Below are 23,996 nucleotides of genomic sequence, written 5' to 3'. Positions count from 1 at the left end.
CTAAAAGGATAAGTTATAGGTCACATCTCAGATTACAATGATTCAAGTCAAAAAGTTCAAAGTAGAATTTACTTTCAAAATTGTTTGTTCCCCCAGAGCTAGTTAATGCCCCCAGAGCTAGTTAATAAACTCTATTTGCAGATAAAAGCATGCTTTCCCTTCAAAGGTATTTCACCAAGACGGGAAACACAAAACTAAATAAGCTGGGAAACTGAGGATACACAGAGGGTCTCCTTAATCTCTGGATATGTGGTCTAATGTATCCTTTTTGTGCTCATTTTTTCCCTTTTATCCAGAAATACAACATTACCTTTTTATAAAATTCCTGGAGATTGATCATATCTCTAGTGTTTGGGTCTAGAATGTATTTTTTGGCCAAAACATCTCTTTACCCCACTTCCACATGTGGAAAGAAAGAAAACATGGTACTCTAATCTCACAAGTGAGGCATGGGGTTGTTTCCTGAAATGAGGCAAGGACTTTGGACAAGAACATGTTTGGACTTGAGATGGTTTTTGTAAACCCAAATGATATTAGTTCTAGTCTGTCTTTATCGCTCACTGTATTTTGTTTTCATTCATACTAATGAATAATAGACTTGATTGTGTTCCATCATTTATGTCATTAATATTTCCTTTATGTTTGAGTGCTGTGCAGTTCTCCTTGAAACTTGTATGGAGATTGAACTTGATAGTGATTTAAAGTAATTAATTCATATGTCAGTTGTTAGCAAGGTCTAGTAATTAAAATCTACTTTAGAGTAAGTTATTAACTCTCCAAAATAAAAACACTTTATCAACTTACCAGTTTTAGCTATTTATTCTACTTGACAGATGAGATAGGGTAGTTATTGACTGTACATAATCACCTATGTACTTTCACCACTGAACACTAGGGTCAAATTGAAGTCTAGGTTATTAAAGTTCATAGTTTAAATCTAGAATAAACCAGTTCAGGTTGATGGGAGAAGGAAGAGAGTGTCCTTGGATCTTGTTATCTTTGCAATATTGTCTCCTTAAATTTTGCAAAGTCCATTTTTGCTGTCTTCAAAATTCTCAAACTTCTAAACTAAAAACACCCTAGACCAAGGATTTCATATTGAGATCTAAGATATCAAAGTGCTATATTGTTTATGATTTATTTTATAATGCTTTTTAGTAAAACAAACTTTAGATGCCATGATTTCCTTGTGAACAGGCTGGAGGGAAGAAAACAAGTTACACGTAATGCATGGGACACAAGTGCAGGCCTTTTATTTGCAGGCCTAAACTAGTCACAAGTTTCCATCTTATGAAAGCAAGTTTTCTTTTATTCTGCTTTGTTTTTTGTCTTGATATCTGGTTACATTTATTCAGTTTGAGGGCATCTTATAACGGGCCCTTTACTTCCCTCCATTTGGCTTGTGATGAACTACTACCAAGGTCAATCCAGGTCTGACTCTTTCATGGAGTCAGTGTGGCTGGGGTAGTGTTTCCCAAGCCAAGCTTGTCATCAGAATTACCTGGGGTGGTTTGTAAAGAACTTTTCAGGCCTCATTCCAAACCTACTAAATTTAGATCTCTGGTGTGGAGCCTGTAAATCTGTATGTTTGAAACCTTCCCAAGGTGATTCTGATGTCCAGTCATATTTGGGTCATAGTCCAGAATGCAGTCATGCATTGCTTAATGACAGGGATTTGTTCTGAAAAATGTGTCATTAGGTAATTTCTTCATTGTAGAACCATCATAGAGTGTGATTACACAAACCTAGATGGTATAGCCTACTACACACCTAGGCTATGTGGTATAGCCTATTGCTCCCAGGCTACAAACCTGTACAGTATGTTGCTGTACTGAACACTGTAAGTAATTGTAATACAATGGTAAGTATGTGTGTATCTAAATATATCTTAACATAGAAAAGGTGCAGTAAAAATACAGTATTCAAATCTCATGAAACCACCATCATATAAGAGGTCCGTAGTTGAACTGAAATGTTGTTGTGTTGCCCATGATTGTACTTGGATTTCAGGACTCTGCAGATGCTTGGAGGTCTTATGGGTTTGGCCATGGGGTATTGCCTCTGAGAAACTGCCATCTGCTTGCCAGAGATTCTGAAAAGACCAGAGTTGCCTATTTGCAGTCTGTTCTTCAAGACTATCTACTATGTTGGCAAAAAGGCCTAGGTTTCTTCTCTGTCCATTCTCAATCCCTCAATCTGTCCTTGTGACTTACTTGCTCCTTCAAGCTGCCCAGTAGTGGCGCTGGTGAAAATAAAATAGACTTTGGTCCTACAGACCTGTCATGGACTCTCAGCTCAGCCTCTTCTATGTGTGCCATTTGCCTCATCTGTAAATGTAGTTAATATTGTCCTCTCAAAGATGTTAGGAAAACCAGAAGAATGTATTTATGTAACACCTAGAACAAGTATACCCTGCATTAGGCATTATTTGTTTGGTTTTACCTGTCCATCTCAATGAACATGCTGGGTTAATGAAGTGTGTTCATCAATTTTCCCTGATCGTAGCCTTTTAGATTGCTCTGGGCAGTGTTTCTCAAAGTAGGAGACACAGACCACCTACCTGTGATTGACAGGAGGACAGAAATCTGCTCTAATGCACTCTAACCTTCTGCACTTTTCACTTTTTATTGAAATATACATATAGAAAGGTGTATTTATTGTAAGTGAACAGCTCAGTGGCTTTTCCTAAACTGAACACACCCATGTAACCAGCACCCAGATCAAGAAACAGAACATTACCAGCACCCCCGAAGCCTCCTCTGCAGGCACACTTTAAGAACCACTGGTCTAGGAAGAGCCCAGCTGGGGCACTGTCCTAAACCACCGTCCCGCCTTTACCTAGCAGGCCAAATCTGCATGCAGTGTCAGCTATTCCCAATCTGAGAGGCTGGGCCTATAGCCTCACATACACCCTTCATAGTGATGCAACTTCATTTGTAAAAAGGGTCACAAAGGGTGTTTCTATAATTTATATTCCTAGCATACACCCTAAACTGCTTAAAGCAAATGAATTCAGGTCCCAGCCAAAAAGGAGTGGAGACCAGTCACTGCCTGAAAGCATTGGCTTATTACAACACTCCAGCATTTTCTCACGGCAGGGTGAATGAGGTGGATTCTAGTGTAATTACCTTTATGTAATTGAAAACTAAATCACCGATGGCTGCAGAGTTTAAATATCCATTTAAATACTTTCAATTTATTCAGCTTATTTTTTCAGGACATGCTACTACCAAATAGGCTATTAATTTTTCTAATGGATTAAAATCTGAATAGGTACATTAAAAACTAGCATAGCTCAAATAAATGTCCTCTTTTTCCAAAGATTATTAAAGAGAGTTTTCTTTTTCTTTAACCCAGCTATTCAAATACTCTATTAGACCAGGACCTGTAATAATACAGGCCTTGTCCAGAAGGGATCAGGTTTCTATGTTATATAATTAGGCAAGACTTTAAATAGTAAGACATGCACCTGTGGTGCTTTTGTCTCTAACTCCACAAATTTCAACATGCATACAAATCAAGAAGGGGTGGGGGTGTTACATGCAAATTCTGCTTCAGTGGGTGTTGGAGCCTGAGATTCTGGCTTTCTAACAAGCTCCCAGGTAAGTGCTGATGCTGCTGCTTTGAGGGCCACACACCTTGAGGAGTAGGAAGAGTACTCATACTGGAAGAGTATTCAGCACGGACTGGAATCCTGCATACATATCTGAGCTCTGTGTTCTGGTATGTATATAGACTTTTTAAAAAAATTAGTAGAGATGGGGTCTCACCATTTTGGCCAGGCTGGTCTCAAACTCCAGGGCTCAAGAGATCCTCCTGCCTTGGCCTCCCAAAGTGCTGAGATTACAGGCATGAGCCACTATACCTGGCTTATATAGACTGCTTCTAAGGTCCATTCTAACTGTACAATTCCATGATTCAGTCACTGTTTGGCTATTAACTAATTTTTTTAGGCTTCTGATTCTCATTGTTTATAAGCTGCTATATTAGAGAATGTTCTGTACTGGAAGGCCAGATAAAAAGTCTTACTTATGGCCAGTAAGTTTTATTTTTCAATCTTCTACAAGTCTGCCTCAACCCATGGGAAATCTTGGCTAATAGTAACATGATACTGGGCTTGGACCATAAACTAAACTTGAGTCAGCAATGTAGGGCTTTGGTTAGATAAGCAAGAATGAACTTGGGAATATAACCAAAAGAAAGGGACAGCTAATCCTACCAGAACAGGCAGTATTTATATGAATACTTTTTTCAAATATCCACAACTGGGAAAAGCTGCTGAACACATAAAGAAAAGTTAAAAGCACGGCATTATTTAGCTAGTGAAAAGAGAACAAAGAATGCCTTAAGAATAATTTTTGAATGGCAGCAGAAACCAGCATATCCTGTGAAGTAAATGCATTTTCAGGACCTCAAAATAGATTTAGGTTGCCTCTAAAGCAGAACTTTCCCATGATAATGATGATCCTAGGTGGTAGGATTGCCAATGGTAATTTTCTTTCCCAAAGATTCTTACAACCAACCATAAACCTACTAGATAACCTATCAGTTGTGTTATTAACTGATATATCAGTTGGGGTTCAGTGCAGACACTTCTCTAGGTACTGAATGCTAAGAATTATATGCTTAAAAATTATATGCTCTTACCATTAGAAGAGCTGGAAGAAGGCTGAGGGAGATGCCTTCTTCCAGCCCTTCTAATGGTAGGAGCATTAAGAGGGATGCTGTTGGGCTCGCAGTTCAGTCCACACAGCTACAATCTAGAGGTCAGGAAGCTATAAAGTCCACTGCTGGCATCACAGTCATTTCTCACAGATGAAGTTAGTGGCAATGCAGAGGCACAGAAAGTCTGGTCATTAAAAACCACATTTAATGTTGCACGTACATCAACAACTACCAGTGAAAACTAATAGGCAGCCAGGCATGTTGGTGCATGCCTGAAGTCCCAAACATTTGGGACACTGAGGTGGGAGGATCCTTGAGCCCAGGAGGTCTAGGCTGCAGTGAGTTGTGATTGTGCCACTGTACTCCAGCCTGGACAGAACAAGAATCTTTCTCAAAAAATAAATAAATAGAGAGAGAGAAGGAGGGAGGGAAGGAGGAAGGTAAAAAGAGAGAGAGAGAAAGGAAGGAAGGGAAAGAAGAGGAAGGAAGGAAGGAAGGAGAAGAGAAAGAAAAGGAAGGAAGGAAGGAAGGAGAAAGAGAAAGAAGGAAGGAGAAAGAAGAGAAAGAAAAGGGAGGAAGGAAGGAAGGAAGGAAAACTAATAGGCAGGGGAAATAGCCTCTCTCTTCCTTTTACCTTTCTAATTTCGCATCATTATATCTGACTGGCACAGTTTAAATTGTTTAACAAATCCTATTAGCAGCTCAGCCTAGAATTATAGTTATTGAGCTTTGTTCCTAACTCAGTATAAATCTATCTTTATTGAAGTATAGCATACAGACAGAAAAATGCACAAATTATAATCAGAGAGCTTGATGAATTTTCATAAAGTAAACACACCTACATATTGCTAGCACCCAGATTGGGAGGCAGAAACTACTACCATACCAGAAGCTCCCTTCATTATCTTTTCTAGGCATTATCCTCCCTCAAATTGACTGTAATCTTGGCTTCTAATACCCTAGACCAATTTGGCCTATTTTTAAACATTAGACAAAATGGAATGATACAGTGTGTATTATTTTATTACTGGCTTTTCCTACTCAACTATTTGTGAGATTCATTCATGTTGAGAGTAATAATAGTATCTTCATTTTCATTGCTGTGTAGTATTCCATTGTATGAATATAACACAATTTATACGTTCTACCAAAGATGGACATTTGGGTTGTTTCCAATTTGAGATTACTGCAACTAGTGCCACTGTGAACATTGGTGAACACACACACACACACATATTTCAGTTGGATATATAAAAGTGTAATTTCTCTGATGCATGGGGTTCAGCTTGAGTAGTACTGCCCAACAGTTTTTCACATCTTCATCAAAACTTGATCTTTTCCATCTTTTAAATTTTAGCCATTCTCTTCAAAGACTAATGCAGTGTATTGAATCTCATTGTTGTTTTCATTTTTCTGATATCAAATAAACACCTTTTTAATTGTTTATTGGCCATTTGGGTACCCTCTTCTGTGAAATGCCTATTCATGTGTTTTGTGTGATTTTCTATGGGCTTGTCTGCCTTTTCTTGTTTTTATAGTCCTTTATTCTGGATATGAGTCCTTTGTCGGGTATATGTATTGATAATATCTTTTGCCACTATGTGGCTTTTTGTTTTTTGTTTTTTTTTTTTGAGATGGAGTCTTGCTCTGTCACCCAGGCTGGAGTGCAGTGGCGTGATCTCGGCTCACTGCAAGCTCCTCCTCCCGGGTTCACGCCATTCTCCTGCCTCAGCCTCCCAAGTAGCTGGGACTACAGGTGCCCGCCACCATGCCCAGCTAATTTTTTGTATTTTTAGTAGAGACGGGGTTTCACCATGTGAGCCAGGATGGTCTCAATCTCCTGACCTTGTGATCTGCCTGCTTCGGCCTCCCAAAGTGCTGGGATTACAGGCGTGAGCCACTGTGCCCAGCCCACTCTGTGGCTTATTTTATTCACTCTTTTAATAGTGTATTTTGAAGAAGACATTCATAATTTTGAATTAGTTTAGTTTATCAGATGTTTTCCTTTATGGCTTATTTATTTTGTGTGTCTCCAGTTTAAGAAATCTTTGTGGATTCCAAAATCGTGAGTATTCTTCTGTTTTCTTGTGAAACTGTTATTGTCCCACTTAGATTTACAATTGTGACTTTTATGGATGGTGAAAAGTGGGAAATATAGTTTTGAGCCTTCCAGTTTCTATAATTCTGTAGAGTAAAAATGGAGTATATAGAGAAGGTAGTGAAAATGTATGCAAGAAACCATATCTAACACAGTTAACTTAGGTGACTGTTTACGCTGTAAAACAGTGATATGTTTAGGCTTTGTGTCCCCACTCAAATTTCATCTTGAATTGTTTTTGTTTTTGTTTTTTGAGATGGAGTCTCGCTCTGTCGCCATGCTGGAGTGCAGTGGCACGATCTCAGCTCACTGCAACCTCTGCTTCCAGGGTTCAAGCACTTCTCCTGCCTCAGCCTCCTGAGTACCTGGGACTACAGGCACACGCTGCCACGCCCGCTAATTTTTGTTGTTGTTGTTTGTATTTTAGTAGAGATGGGGTTTCACCATGTTGCCCAGGCTGGTCTCAAACTCCTGAGCTCAGGCCATCTGCCCGCCTCGGCCTCCCAAAGTGCTAGGATTACAGGTGAGTGCCCGGCCTCTTATCTTGAATTGTAATTCCCGGGTGTTGAGGGAGAGACCTGGTGGGAGGTGATTGGATCATGGGGGAGGTTCCCCCATGCTGTTCTTATGACAATGAGTGAGTTCTCATAGATCTGATGGTTTTATAAGGAGCTCTTCCCACTTTGCTTCTCTCTCCCTCCCTCCTGCTGCCTTGTGAAGAAGGTGCCTGCTTCCCCTTCACCTTCCACCATGATTGTAAGTTTCCTGAGGCCTCCCCAGACATGTGGAACTGTGAGTCAATTAAATCTCTTTTCTTTATAAATTACCCAGTCTCAGGTAGTATCTTTATAGCGGTATAAAAACAGACTAATACAAACAGGTAGCTCTAAATTGTGAGTTTTTCTTAACTCCTTTGATCTTCTGTGATAGCGATTTTTCACATTTCACACTTCCCTAATGCCAAAAATCCACCTCCAGCAGCTGTTTTGCCTCTTTCTTATCCTGCCCCTTGGAAGAATGTCATCATTATTGCTGCCACAGCACTGTGTTCTTTTTCAGAAGTTACAGCAAGAATTGGTTGGCTTTCTTTCTTTTTTTTTTTTTTTCTCAGACAGAATCTGGTTCTGTCGCCCAGGCTGATGTGCAGTGGTGGGATCTTGGCTCACTGCAACCTCTGCCTCCCGGGTTCAAGCAATTCTCTCGCCTCAGTCTCTCGAGTAGCTGGGATTACAGGCACAAGCCACCATGCCCGGCTAATTTTTGTATTTTCAGTAGAGATGGGGTTTCACCATGTTGGCCAGGATGGTCTCGATCTCCTGACCTCGTGCTCCACTTGCCTTAGCCTCCCAAAGTGCTGAGATTACAGGTGTGAGCCACCGCGTCTGGCCAGATCTGCTTTCAAATAAATGAAAAGAAGACCAGGGTTAGAACTGGTGGGAAAATGTGAATATTAGAATTCTTTTAAAGAAATATAGTTTTACCACATAATCTAAGGTCGTGTGATTAAGTACAAGGCATTGTTCTAAAAGGCTTGAGGAAAAGTTGTTTCTCCTAAGAGGTTAAACAAGCTCATAACCCTACCTCTCCTCACTTGCAGGCACAACCACTTCCTGTGTTTTTTTCATGTGGAGCAACTGATGTTTTCTCAATCTTATATAAGATGTTATACAAGGCCGGGTGTAGTGGCTCATGCCCGTAATCCCAGCACTTTGGGAGGCCGAGGTGGGCAGATCACCTGAGGTCAGGAGTTTGAGATCAGCCTGGCCAACATGGTGAAGCCCCATCTCTACTAAAATACAAAAAAAAAAAAAAATTAGCTGGGCATGGTGGAAAACACCTGTGATCCCAGCTACTCAGGAAGCTGAACCTGGGAAGTAGAGGTTGCAGTGAGCCGAGATCGCACCACTGCACTCCAGTCTGGGTGACAAAGCAAGACTCCATCTCAAAAAAAAAAAAAAAAAAGTTATACAAAAGAGGTTTCAAGCGAGTTCCCTACCTTCCTCAGAATCAGATTTTTCCCCATAGGCTCCTCTAGAAATTATGGCATGGCTACTGGAACAGTAAAATATATCTAGAGCAAGATTCTTCTCAACCCTTTTGTGCCTTATCCCCGCTCTCTCCTTTGATATTTGGATATATCATTTGGTTCCCTAATAATAATAATAGCTGAAGTGGGTTGTGAAATATGACTTTTTTATTATTCAACCCAATTTCTGTTCCATGGCCACATATCTCTGGGCTGTTAGGAAAAATCATTTTACGATATATTTTCAACTCATACCACATAGTAGCAGGATCTTACACAGTGCCAAGGCTTCTGGAATGGGGCAGGTATCTTAGCTGGTCCTTAACTAGTTCACAATGATTCAGCCAAGATTCATATACATTGTAGGGGTCCCATGGCCCCTTTATGTCTAGGACCTTCTATTATTTCTGAGTTACCCTATTGTTTCTGAGTTATGTTCATCTGCATAAATGCATCTGCATAGTCATTCCCCTAATTCCTACTTGCCAGGCACTCTTCTAATTACTCCATGTGCATTGTCTCATTTAATCCTCATAATAACCCTATATGACAGTGTTGCTATTATTATTTACATTTTATAAATGAGGACATTGAGGTTAGGTAATATGCCCGAAGCCCTTATATCTCAGTAGTGCTGAAGTTTTTGCTGTGGATTGACTCTCTACTCTTAAAAGTGTGAGTGCTCATTAATAATCCATTGGCACACTCACTGTGCTTCTCAAATCTTAGACAAACCTCTTGTCATCACCTTGAAGAATTCATCTTTGCAAAGACCCATTACACCAAGGCATGCCAGTCATCTTAGTTAATCTTCATATTCAGTTCATGAAGCAAATATTTCTAGAGACTGGCTATATGCCCAGCACAAGTTCTGATGACAGAATGGGCTAAGGAGCTACAGTAGCACAAGAGTCCCTTTCGTCGAAATCTTAAAAGCAAATTTTGTCCAAGTTATCAATTTTATCTAATGGAATTTAACTAAATTAGAAAGAAACCTAAGTCCTTCAGTCACTAACCCATAGATTTAATACTTGGGACTCAGACATATGAACATTGTTGTTCTTGATGGCCTTATTTTCTGGGTCATCTCCCAGAAATAGCATATTCTTATGCTAATTTGAGTGCTACTAAACCCAGAAGGGCCCACATTCACCCACCCCTCACTCCCCCATGGTTCAGTAGGCCTCAAGTCTCAATTTTCCAATTATCTAATAAATTGAAGGCTTCCATTGGGAGTAGGATGAGGATGGAATCTTAAGGAAATTGAAAGTGCCATTTCAGAGTCAATATAGTTTTAGTAGGTTTTAGGGATGAACCTGGTACCTAACCACTAAATATAAGGCTTTTAAAGGAATCTATGTCCATGTCCCTAAAAAAACAATTTAAAACCCAGTATGGTTATATTCCTCAATTAAGAACCATGTTATATTCCTTATATTTATTGGTACCTTAATCATTAAAAACTTGACCACTTTACAGTGAACTTCTAGTATTTTCTCTACTTTTTACTCTTCTAGAAGACAGTAGATATTTCTGTCCTGATACCAGCTCTTGACTTGAGCAAAACTGTGCTTCTAGCTACTCAAGGGCAGACAGAGCTCTCTGGAAGGGACCATTGAAGAGTTTATAACAATGTTTTACAAAGTTCAAATTACCCTTGCTTATCTGGAATCTTTTGAAAATTAATCCCTAAGTGGCTGAATGTAAGAAAACTTACTGTGGGGCTAGTTTTACTGAAATATTTTGTCCTAGATTTTTGTGACCATGAGTGTCTCCTTCTCCCCTGGAGAAGGATATCTGTTCTATGTCATTCTCACTTCCTAGAGAGGAGAAAATCAGAACTATTTCCTCTACTCTGTCAGGTAGGTCTAGTCAAACAGTCCATCATTCTGATAGCAGAATATCAGGACTTCATAACAAGAAACATAGAATCCCTAACCCCAGAGCGTAATCAGCTCATCTCATTGCTTCCCCTTTAGACTAAGAGCAATTTTAGTAGAATGAGTTCCCTGGACACAGCACCTGCAGGATATGTGAAGGTGCTTTATAAATTTTTTGTTTGTTTGTTTTTGAGACAGGGTCTTGCTTTGCAGTGAACACAGTTCACTGCAGCCTCGACCTCCTGGGCTTAAGCAATACTCTCACCTCAGCCTCCTGAACAGCTGGCACCACCACACCTGGCTAATTTTTGTATTCTTTGTAGAGACAGGGTTTTGCCATGTTGTCCATGCTGGTCTCAAACTCCTGAGCTCAAGTGATCTACCCACCTCAGCTTCCCAAAGTGCTGGGATTACAGGCATGAGCCACAGTGCCCGGCCTTGCTTTATAAACTAAAGCAGCATATAACACTGCAGGTTGTTGAAATTTTGTCTTTATATTTCCTTTGCTTTTTAGCCTAGAAAGTACTCTGACCAGCAAAAACAACCACATTACACATCTTAAAACCATTGCTAGATTTCAGTGGTGGTGGTATGATAGTAGCAATAGCAAGAGAAACAAAAAGAAGAATGTAAGGGTGGGGTATGTGTATGTCCATGCCCATGTACTGGCTTTTCTACATGCTCCAAGAAGGTTTCTCAAAGGTATCCAATGTTCAAATGGGAAGGAGCACAGATCAGATGGGGAATCTGCCCAGGTGTCAGAGAATTCATGTTAATCTTCTGGCCAAAATAACTATCCATTCCAAGTTCATGTTATTATTTTTTGAAAAAATAACAACCATTTTCATTGCTAATATTCTTCAAAGACTTGCAGAGATTTTACCCACTTCTGTAAAACTGTTTAAGATTTCTTAAGTTAGCTCTTAAGAACTTATCTTAAGATAGCTCTGTCTTAAGAGCTGAGATAAATTCTAGTCTGGAAGTCAGAATGACCCAGAACAGATGCCCTTTCTCAATTCCACATTAATGGAGACCTTAGGCTGGGTTCCACCTCCTTAAAAAAAGGCAGGGCTGTGTATGGACCCAGTAAAGGGTGGAGAGACAAGGTTGGTAGTGACTCACTTCAGTTTTTGGAAGGAGGCGGATTAAGCTTCCACCCCCACAAGCCTAATGCTGGGAACTCCCACTTTGGAAGATGAGGCAGATCTTGACATGAAAGCAGTCTGAAGTAGCGTCCCACCCTAGAAAAGAAGTTACATTCATCGTTAGATTTGAGACTGCACAGCTAAAATGTAAGAAACAGAAGTGTCCAGTATATTCAAAAGCCTTAAAAGTGCACATTTTGTTCGCTGACCAATGTCAAATTTATAACTCTATCTTTAGGAAGTTATTAAGCATGTGTGCAAAGATTAAACTACTAGGCAGATCATCTAAACTGTGTTTATCATAAAAAAATAGAAAACCAACCTAAGTGTCCAACAATACGAGTTTAATTAAATACATCCATATAATGTTATATTTTTCATATTTAAAATAATGTTATAGATACATATTTATTAATGTGGTAAGGTGTCTAAAATATATTAAGGACAAACACAGGTGACCAACCAATATGTACTTGATGATTCCATTTCAGTAAAATAAATACATGTGTGAGTATATGCATATGGTTTTAAAAGCTCTTAAAGGGTTTCTGGTTCAAGGTGGTGGATTGACTACATGCATTTAACTTCCCCTTGCTCTCTAAATCTCACTAACATGATATAAAAATACACACACATACAGTCACAAAGAACACAGTTTGTATAAAAGTACGAAAAGAAATTCCCCCGACTTTACCCCCCATCCAAATTCTAGGTCTTGCCTCCATCTCTAGAAATGGGAAGAATGCTGAGGAGTAAGACAAAAGAATGGGAAAAGGAGATTTTGACTTTTTTTTTAATACTTTCTGTACTGTTTGATGCTTTCATTAGTACTGTGTATTTTTGTAACTTTTAAAGTTATTGAAGGCTAAATTTAAAAGTGGTAATACAGTAGCATCACAGCATTTTGCATTTAGCTTAACTAGCTTTCACCTAAATTTGGGAAGGGTGGAGGGCAAACGAGAAAGAATAAAGGAAAGAGAAAAGGGAGAGAAAGAGGAAGAAAGGGAGTGCAAGAGAGAACATTTTAAATGGTGTTGTGATTTCTGCCTGACCTTTCTTCTTTCTCTCTCTCTCTCTCTAAGAGACAGTATCTCTCTCTGTCACCCAGGCTGAAGTGCCGTGGCATGATCATAACTCACTGCAGCCTCAAATTCCTGGGTTCAAGCCATCCTTCCCACTCAGCCTCCTGAGTAGGTGGGACTACAGGCACATGCCACCACACCTGGCTAATTTGTTTTTATTTTTACAGACACGGGGTCTTGCTACGTTGCCCAGGCTGGTCTCAAACTCTTGTTCTCAAGCAGTCCTCCCACCTTGGCCTCCCAAGGCAATAGTATCTGATCTTTTCAATTAGCTTGGATCTAACCCAAAATAACTCTGAAAGAGCTGATGTGAATTTGATCTATTTCTGGTCCTGTGTGCTCTTCATACGTTGAGTATCTTGTCATGCTAAGTGTGATTCTATTGTTAACAGGTCCTTTTATTTTTATTTGTTTATATACATTTAAGTAGCATGGCTTATAAATATAACTACTTCATTAGTTGCTCAACTAACAAAGCTTATATCATGCACATGTGTTGGGTTTTCTACATGCTCCAAGGTGCTATTCCAAACTTAATGATTTAAGGTATTTTCAGGGGTAATCCCATTCCCCTCTTAATTTAGTGGTTAACTCTCAGTAACATGGAAAGCCAGTGCAGAAATTAGTAATCAGTGGTGGAATTCAGGTGTTTTTAATATTCTTCCTCTCTCTCTTTAGTTCTGTTTTCAATTTGGATAATAAGTATTCCTTTTGTAGTAAGAAAACTAGGCTGGGCACGGTGGCTCATGCCTGTAATCCCAGCACTTTGGGAAGCTGAGGCAGGCAGATCACGAGGTCAGGAATTTGAGACTCAGCCTGGCCAACATAGTGAAACCCAGTCTCTACTAAAAATACAAAAATTAGCCGGGCATGGTGGCACATGCCTGTAATCCCAGCTACTCAGGAGGCTGAGGCAGGAGAATTGCTTGAACCCAGGAGGCTGAGGTTGTAGTGAGCCGAGATGGTGCCATTGCACTCCAGCTCTGTGCGACACAGCAAGACACCATCCAGGGAAAAAATAATAATAAAATAAAATAACATTATATCTGTATCTATCTACCTATTTATTTATTCAGAGACATGGTCTTAGTCAGCCTGGCTAGAGTGCAGTGGTGCGATCACAGCTCACTGCAGACTGGAGCTCCTGGGCTCAAGCAATCTTCCTACCTCAGCCTCCTGAGTAGCTGGGACTGCAGGTATGCACCACCATGCCTGGCTAATTTTTTATTTTTATTTTTGTAGAGACAGGGTCTCACTATGTTGCCAGGCTGGTCTTGAACTCCTGGCCTCAAGTGATCCTCCCCCCTTGGCCTCCCAAAGTGTTGGGATTACAGGTGTTAACCACTGCACTGGGCCAGAAAACTATGTATTTTTAAAAACTTTTTGAAATGATAGCTATAGTTCTTATTGCAACTTCACCTGGATGATGAGCATCCAGGGACTCTCTTCTCTTTTCATGACTCAACTCTATTTTCATAGGCATCTCATTTCCTTCTTCTACCACAAGTGGAGCACTTTTCAGTGATAAGAAATCATAGCATCACAATTTTGCACCTGCTATCCATCCAGTTAGAAAACCCACTCAGTCCCAATCTGTGTCAAATAGTATTTATAACCAGCCCCTCAAATGATTTTCTCTTTTTCCTTGTGTAAAGTGCTTCCTGAAATTATAAGAAACTCAAATTTATATTAATCAGTAAGACTTTTTCTTCAGAATTTGAAATATACATAGAAAAGTGTTGTTTGTAGCAAAAATGTTAAATAGACTACTATTTTATGATATAAATTAAAAGTCAGCCGAGAAACTTCAGATAGTGTAGATGAAGAACTCACATACTGATGATGAATCCATGCTTCTGGCTGCAAAACTGAACAAGTGGGGTTGGGCCATCCCCAAAGAACAGGTTTGAAATCCTGGAAAGACAATCAAGCCTTTATCTCAGGCCTGTCGGGTAACCAAATCCTTTGGATCCTTTTGAAGTTAGGGAGTAAGGAGCAGTTGAGGGATTTTTACTCTTTAGGGGACCAGGTCCTATAGAAATCTGCCCAACCTGGTAGCCTAACTAGGTTGCGGGGTTAATGGTCCTGATCAGTAGAAAGTGAGACTCCAAGACTGTGTGTTCTCTGTGGAAGATAGACACTTGGATAGATACTTAATTACAAGTTAGGGACCCAGTTTTTGTTTGTTTGGTTGGTTTTTTTGTTTGTTTGTTTTGAGACAGAGTTTCCTCTGTCATCCAGGCTGGAGTGCAGTGGCGCCATCTCAGCTCACTGCAACCTCCGCCTCCCGGGTTCAAGCAATTCTCCTGCCTCAGCCTTCTGAGTAGCTGGGATTACAGGCACCTGCCAACATGCCCGGCTAGGGACCCACTTTTAATACCTTATGATGTGATGCAGAACAATTTCTTTAATCTCATGGACTCTTATTTTTATAGATTTGAAATGGAAATGATGTTGTTTATTCTGCAAATTAAATGAGAGGCTCCCTATAGGTATACAGTGCTGAGGTCCTAATGGATAAGAACAACCTTTAAAACATTTATTAAGATAAAAAGGATAAAATACATCCTGTCTATAGTACAGTTGTTGGGTCTTTTTTAGTGTGAAAAGTGGTAGATAAGCAGTTCCTGAGGAGCCCAGTGGGAAGCCTGGAAAGACCTTCGTGTTCTCCTTTAGTATTTTGTAACTTGTTTACTTATTAAACTAATGCCTAGGCAACAAGAATAGCATTTTTCTTGCATGGAATCCATCTCTAAGAAAACATACACCTGGAAGCTGTCAACAACAATATGCCAACAAGCCAGGGTGAGCCCATTGACAGAGTTGGCATGGATCAGCTTTAATCCTTCCTCACGGCACTGAAGCAAAGGACTTAGAAGAGTACTTGTCAGGGGTTCTCACAGGAATTCCACTCTGCCTGGCTATCCAAAGATCACAGCCACCTCCCCTGTCACCTGATGTCAGGGCTCCTAAGGATGCTTTACAGAAAGCTCTGCTGAACCAAACTCGAGATCTCAAATAGCACAAGTCCAGATATAAATTCTGAAAATCCTTCTTGAGATGAAAATCTCTCTCCCCAGATCCACCAAGCTCCCTGATGACATGCCAACTTGGTCTCTTTGTTCATTATCTCCAAGATCTCAGGCTGGCTGCTAAGCCACTGCAGCAGCCTCCTTACCTGATGTCCCACTTATACCCCCAAACTCAACACAACTTCTCTAGGATATTCTGTCCATTGCACCATTTTACCCCAAATTCTTAGGTGTACTAAAGTTTTGTTCCAGCTTGGATTGTGCACAGTAACTCCAATACTATCTTCACCACTATTCCCATGCCTCACCCCCACTAAACCTGCTGGGCTGGGCCTGTACTGAATCTCCGCACCACCCTCACCCACTCCACCCTACCTCACCATCTTTGTTGGATCACTGCTCACTTGCAGAAAGTCAAGTGTAAACCCTGCTAGTCATTTCCACTCTTTTTGGCCTTTAATCACTCATGATAGCCCTTTAATGTGTCCCTTAGACTCTATGATATTTGATAGTAAAAGAGGTATTGAAAGCATATTTTCTGGTCCTCCTGCTTTCAGATTCTTCCTTCTGTCCCTACTTCTGAGATGGAGACTGAGTAGGGAGTCACCAAACTGATCTGGAGAAGATGAACTAGATATGCTCAGATTATGGACCCTGGCCTCAGTGGGGAGAAACTGGAATTCTAACCCACCAGTCCAACTGTCATATCCAATTTTAAACTCTGGCTGCGAACCATGGCTCACACCTGTAATCCCAGCATTTTGGAAGGCCAGGCAGAAGGATTGCTTGAGTTCAGGAGTTCAAGACCAGCCTAGGCAACATAGTGAGACACTGTCTCTACAAAAATAAAAATAAAAAACATGTCTGGCAGCAGACTTCTCAGTGGAAAGCTTACAGGCCAGGCGAGAGTGGCATGACATATTTAAAGTGCTGAAGAAAAAAAAAAACTTTTATCCTAGAATAATATATCCAGGGAAAATATCCTTCAAAGATGAAGGAGAAATAAAGATTCCCAACCAAACAAAAGTTGAGGGATTTCATCAACACCAGACTTCTCCTACAAGAAATGCTAAAGGGAGTTCTTCACTTTGAAAGAAAATGATGTTAAGGAGCAATAAGAAATTATCTGAAGGGGCTGGGTGCAGTGGCTCACGCCTGTAATCCCAGCACTTTGGGAGGCCGAGGCAGGCAGATGACCTGAGGTCAGAAGTTCAAGACCAGCCTGGCCAACATGACAAAACCCTGTCTCTACTAAAAATACAAAAAAAAAAAAAAAAATTAGCCAGGCGTGGCAGTGCATGCCTGTAATCCCAGCTACTCGGGAGGCTGAGGCAGGAGAATCACTTGTACCTGGGAGGCGGAAGTTGTAGTGAGCCAACATTGCGCCACTGCCCTCCAGCCCAGGCAACAGAGTTAGACTCCGTCTCAAAAAAAAGAAATTATCTGAAGGTATAAAACTCACTGGTAATATTAACTACACAGACAAGCACAGAATATCATGACACTATAATAGTGTTATGTAAACTACTCATATCTTGAGCAGAAATTCTAAAAGCTGAATCTATCAAAAATAGTAACTACAACTTTTCAAGACATAGATAGTAGAATAAGACATAAATAGAAACCATAAAATGTTAAAAAGTGGGGGCAATGTGGTGTGGAGTTTTTATTAACTTTCTCTCCTTTGTTTTTTGCGATTAGTGTTAAGTTGTCATCAGTTTTAAATAATGGGTTATCAAGGAGGATCGCTTGAGCCCAGGAATTTGAGACCAGCCTGGGCAACACAGTAAGACTCTCTCTCTATAAAGAAAAAAAACTTAAAAAAAAAAAAAGAAAAGAAAACAAGACCCAACAATCTGTTGCCTACAAGAAACACTCTTCACCTATAAATACACACATAGGCCTAAAATAAAGGGATGGAAAAAGATATTCCACACAAATGAAAACCAAAAAAGAGTAGGAGTTGCTATATTTCTATCAGATAAAATAGATTTCAAGAGAAAAATATAAAAAGAGACAAGATTATTATATAATGATAAAGAGGTCAACTCAGCAAGAGGGTATAACAATTGTATATGCACTCAACACTGGAGTACCCAGATAAAAAAAGCAAATGTTATTAGAGCTCAGGAGAGAGATAGACCCCAATACAATAATAACTGGGGACTCCAACACCACACTTTCAGCATTGGACAGATCATCCAGACAGAAAATCAACAAACATCCAACTTAATCTGCACTATAGACCAAATAGACCTAATAGATATTTACAGAACATTTCGTCCAACAGCTATAGAATACACATTCTTCTCCTCAGCACATGGATCATTCTTGAGGATAGACCATATGTTAGGCCACAAAACAAGTCTTCAAAAAATTTTTTTTTTAAATTAAAATCAGGCCAGGCATGGTAGCTCACGCCTGTAATCCTAGTACCTTAGGAGGCTGAGGCGAGTGGATCACCTGTGACCTATTCATATAACGGACACTACATAACAAGGAGAATGAAGGAACTAAAACTTTGTGCAATCACATGTATGAATCTCACAAACATAATGGTGAGCAAAGTAAGCCAGGCACAAATGAGAACACATTATATGATTCCATTTATATAAAATTGAAAATCAGACAAAATAAATCAGTGATGTTGGAAGTCAGGATGGTGTTTACCTGTTGGGATGGTGGAGATAGTAGTGACCAAGAGGAAGGCACAAGAGCTACTTTTGGGTGGTAATATTGTTCTTTTCCTTGATCATACTCACATAGGTTACATAGGTGTTGATTTTGTGAAAATTCATTGAACTGTAAACTTACCTACTTTTCTGCATGCATGTTATCCTTAAAAAGTTTACTAAATTACCTGTACATCCTTATGATAGGAAATCTAGAAAATAGAAACTATATAGTGTTAAAAAACAGTTTTCAAAATAAGGAAACATTATGACTGTCATATATAAATATAAAATGAGCACATCAAAGATTTTATTTAACTCATTAATTAATGAGAAAACCAGTAAGGTGTTATAGCTGGTTCAAATGGATTTGATTTACAGAGATCTATATTACCTGCCAGACAAAATTTATTTGCATTGACATGAACAGGGATCATTTCCAGTTATAACAGGAAACATTTGCATTAATGTCAATTTTCTACATCTTCACCTCTTTCTCTACAGAGTTATAAATAGTCTAATCAAAGACTAGTCAAAGACAATGAAAGTAGAAATGAATGGATGCACTAATTAGGATACCCACTACATTTCAAAGGTTTTAACATTTTTACTTACAATAGAGTAAAATCAAAACAACCTGTAATCCTTCTATTCAGGAGTAATCTATATATACACAATTTTGTGCCATATTTTTAAATATTACATAAGAATTGTCTTATATCTAGAGCAAAATTACTTAAGTAAAATTTTTAGAAAACAACTTTTCATATTGAGTACAAAGGTTTTTTTCCCCTTTGTTCTAAAAATCCTCTGTTCACATTTCTGGTTATTTCCTTAACATATTTTCTTAGAAGGAAAAGTATTGGATCAAAAGATATGACCATTTTTAAGACTCTTGATACATATTGCCAAGTTGTTGTTGTGGTGGTTGTTGTTGTTGTTTTGTTTTTGAGACAGAGTCTCGCTCTGTCGCCCAGGCTGGAGTGCAGTGGCACAATCTCAGCTCACTGTAACCTTTGCCTCCGGTTTCAAGTGATTCTCCTGCCTCAACCTCCTGAGTAGCGGGACTACAGGTGTGTACCACCACGCCTGGCTAATTTTTGTATTTTAGTAGAGATGGGGTTTCACCATGTTGGCCATGGTCTAGAACTCCTGACCTCAAGTGATCCACCTGCCCAGCCTTCCAAAGTGCTGGGATTACAAGTGTGAGGCACTATGCCCAGCCTTATATTGCCAAGTATTATAGGAATACTTTGCAGCACATAATTAGGTTGGAGGGTGAGAGGAAGCAAAAATCTTTCTAAGCTACTTTCATACTCCCAGAATTACTCCTGTCCGTAAGATTTCCAGGAGTAAAACATGTTTATAGTTTTGCAACTACCCACCATCTGCCTTTTTCTCTTCCTTTGCTTTTGGACTTTGAGCAAAAACCCAGTACTTGCCTAAGGAAAAAGTGTGGGTTGGCACAGCAAACCACAAAAATCTCAAGTTCTAACCAAATTTAAGGCTGCAAGATGCCTCCCTGCACTGATGGCTTCATCTGTATTAGGTTATAAATCCCTTGAGGAATTTTCTAGGACCCAATTCTAGCCCTACTTCCCGTGTTTACACATATTTTCTGATCTGTTTTGCCAGTATTGATTTAAAATATTTTGACAGCCGGGCGTGGTGGCTCACGACTGTAATCCCAGCACTTTGGGAGGCTGAGTCAGGTGGATCACGAAGTCAGGAGATCAAGACCATCCTGGCTAACACGGTGAAACCCTCTCTCTGCTAAAAATACAAAAAATTAGCTGGGCATGGTGGCACACGCCTGTAGTCCCAGCTACTAGGGAGGCTGAGGCAGGAGAATCGCTCGAACCCAGGAGGCAGAGGTTGCAGTGAGCCAAGATAGCGCCACTGCACTCCAGCCTGGGCGACAGAATGAGACTGTCTCAAAAAATAAAATAAAATAAAATAAAATAAAATAAAATATTCTATAAGCCACATATATCTAACCATGAGACCCAACTTAATTCAACTATTCTATCAATTGCCTACTGAGTGCCAGGAACTGTGGTGTACTAGGCCTAGAGTAAGTCGTGAGCAAAACAGACTTTTTCCTGCTATAGGAGCAGAAAGGTGTAGTACCTTTCTTCATCCATCATAAGCGTTACAGTTGACACTCCTATAACAAAAGACAGATTAACAAGAGAAAAGCATAACAAATTTATTTAACCAAAGTTTTACATGAAATGGGAGCCTTTAGAAATGAATAGCCCCCCTCCCCCAAAAAAAAGAAATGAATACCCAAAGATGCAAGGAAAACTGTGTTTTTATGCTGAGGCTCGATGAAGAATGGACAGCCATGTAGAAATGTGACTGGACAAGAGAGTATGATCTTACTGTAATAGACTGAGGAGGAAACCCAGCAAGGCCTGCCTTTCTGTTTAGGTTCTTCTGGGTCTCTTTATGTAGCATTCCTTCCTCCTGAGTATGGGTAGGACCCCTCTGGAATGAGAGTCTCCAGGATAAAAGGGAAAGAATGACCCAGAGGTTTTATGGCTTGCTTTGCAGAAGAGTGGTCCTAGTGTCTAGGACCTGTCTTGGCATAGAGGAATTCTGATTTCTATCCTTGTTTTAGAGAAGAAAAAGAGACAAGAGACAGGAGAGCAGAAGAGGGTCAGAGAACACTTTATTCCGAGGTCCTTCCAGAGTCCTTCAGTTTAAAGTACTCAGCCAAGGGCCGATCATGGTATCTCACACCTGTAATCTCACTACTTTGAGAGGCTGAGGCGGGAAGATCACTTGAGGTCAGGAGTTTGAAATCAGCCTGACCAATATGGTGAAACCCTGTCTACTAAAACACAAAAATTAGCCAGGCATGGAGGCGGGTACCTGTGATCTCAGCTACTTGGGAGGCTGAGGCAGGAGAATCGCTTGAACTCAGGAGGCAGAGGTTGCAGTGAGCCGAGATCGCACTATTGCACTCCAGCCTGGGCGACAGAGTGAGATTCCCTCTCAATAAATAAAAAAAAATAAGTAAAATAAGTAAATAAATAAGTAAAGTACTCAGCCAAGTGAGGTGCCATACTTTGGAGTAACATGTCCTGAGTCCTGACACTGCGCTGAGGATTTAGAAAGTATGATTACCATATACTATATAAAATATAGCCATATATATATAGAAGGAGCATTATACATTTTAATGTCAAGCTATTTATTATTTTGTTTTATTTCTTTATTTTATAGAGACAAGGTCTTATTATGTTGCCCAGGTTGGAGTGTCTATGCATAGGGCGCGATCATAGTGCACTGCAGCCTTCAACTCCTGGCCTCAATGGATCCTCCCGGCCTCATCCTCCCAAGGCTATTTATTATTTTGTTATATTGGTAGGTAGGTCTCTTACCAACTGGATAAAATGCTCCTTGAAGGCAGGGGCCATGTCTTTACTTCTCTGGTATACTCCAAAGTGCTGAGCATTTAATAGGCATCCAGTGGAGAGCAACCCAGTTGAAAACATTAGTGCCTCATGTCTGCATGAACCAAGCTTGCCTTCCAGCTCCTCACAGAATCTCTGTGGGAATAAGTAACATGATTGGAAAACATGAAATAACTTACTATGTAAGTGATCATTTTACACTTTATGTCATCACCAATAGGTGGCACCATCAATTTTAAAATTATATAGCCCAAAATTGTACATATTGATGGTGTTTGTTCAATAGATGTTTACTGGACTCCATGTATGTAGAAACTTCTCAGCTCGCCACTACCACCAGAGTAAAAATAAAAGTATTACAGACACGCTTTATCATACTTTCTTTTCTAGTAATACCCTAAAAAACATGTATTTCCACTTTCAGATTTCATCCCCGTTTTAAAAAAACAACATCTAAATCTTGGATAACACAAAAACAACGGTTTTACAATTTTGTCCTTTTGTGTTTGTGTGTATGTGTGTGCATTCCAACCCAGCTTAATATCTTATTGTAAAAGGGAAAAAGGGATGCAAAAATAAATAAAAAGCAAATTTAAAAACCTGGGTTTTAGTGGGGGAAGGGGACCTATCAGCAGAATTTAACCCGAGTTGGCTTTCAGTTAACACAATTTACCACTCCTCTCTTTCTTTCCTTTTGGAAGATAACAAAAGTTTGATTCAGGCACAGAAGAATTATTTCAACAGCTTCCAAGTCCGCATAATCCCATCTGGAGATAATAAAAGGCCCCATTCCTCTGTGTTTATTTCAAGAGGTTCGTTCTTTGGAATGACCTGAGGTTGCAAACTGTAGAACAGTTGCCAGCTGAAGAGAACTGCAGCTTGAATGCTACTCAGGAAGTCTCTATGGACCTGGGATAACTCCTCTGAGATTTCCTTAGTGTAGAAAGAGGCCCCTGTGCCCTTCCTTCTCTACAAGATGAGGGCAAAAAAGGGACAAAAGAGAAAAAGAGGGGAAAGGGAGCAGTGAGGAAATTAAACTGCAGTATTTGCATCAAACACCATATAATAGTCACTAATTCACTAATTTATCCACCTACTGCTGAGAGAATAGGAAACTCTGCCCAAGTCTGCCTTTTTTTTTTTTTTTTTTTTTTTTTTGAGACGGAGTCTTGCTGTATCGCCCAGGCTGGAGTGAAGTGGCGCAATCTCGGCTCACTGCAAGCTCCGCCTCCTGGGTTCACGCCATTCTCCTGCCTCGGCCTCCCGAGTAGCTGGGACTGCAGGCGCCCGCCACCATGCCTGGCTAATTTTTTGTATTTTTAGTAGAGACGGGGTTTCACCATGTTAGCCAGGATAGTCTCGATCTCCTGACCTCATGATCCGCCCGCCTTGGCCTCCCAAAGTGCTAGGATTACAGACGTGAGCCACCGCGCCTGGCCGTCTGTGCCTCTTTTTACTGAATGTCTTTAAAGTGCGATGAATGGCATTAGGGAGTTGGGAAGATGCACAGAGGGAACATAGAAGGGTTTTTGTCATTCAGGAGCTTCCAATCTAGTAAACCATAAGAGTGTCTTGTATAGTGGTGGTTAGAAAGGCAGGCTGCTTTATTCATTTGTACCACAACTCCACCACCTATGCACATTTGTGCTAATTTCAAGCAAAGGGGAATATGGATCCACCTTTACACTACTCTGCAAAAAAGAAAAATTACCTATCCTCCTCTGATGTTTTTAGAAATTCGAAATAAATTTTAAATGAAGTAAAGCAATGAGGCAAAGTTTTTATTTCAAACCATGAGCCCTTCTCTCCCCACTAGTTGAGAATCTCTATGATACTTATTCAATGTGATGAAAGATTGCTCAGGCTCAGAAAGGGGCAAGTTATGATTGGAGACAATGACTTTGCAACATAATCAATTCATCTAGTTTTGCTATTACCTTGACAGCCTAGGTCCAGGAGCAGGGAAATTAGATG

The 23,996-nt window shown here is 40.0% G+C and overlaps 1 long non-coding RNA gene and 1 other non-coding gene across 2 annotated transcripts in view; both read left to right on the top strand.

The window, feature by feature from the left end:
- Positions 1–23,996, top strand: part of LOC100130691 (Putative uncharacterized protein FLJ44553) — a 109,184-nt gene that overhangs the window by 74,173 nt on the left and 11,015 nt on the right. Inside the window, exons 7-8 of the long non-coding RNA NR_026966.1 lie at positions 7,191–7,286; positions 7,484–7,555. This is a non-coding gene — a long non-coding RNA (Putative uncharacterized protein FLJ44553). The remainder of the gene's footprint in view (positions 1–7,190; positions 7,287–7,483; positions 7,556–23,996) is intronic.
- On the top strand, positions 4,637–4,713 carry MIR6512 (microRNA 6512). Its single transcript, NR_106767.1, has one exon. It is a non-coding gene; the product is annotated as a microRNA 6512 (primary transcript).

Source organism: Homo sapiens, chromosome 2, assembly GCF_000001405.40.
Source record: "Homo sapiens chromosome 2, GRCh38.p14 Primary Assembly".
In the NCBI taxonomy this organism is placed as follows: Eukaryota; Metazoa; Chordata; class Mammalia; order Primates; family Hominidae; genus Homo; species Homo sapiens.
This window is presented reverse-complemented; position numbering and strand designations above follow the sequence as displayed.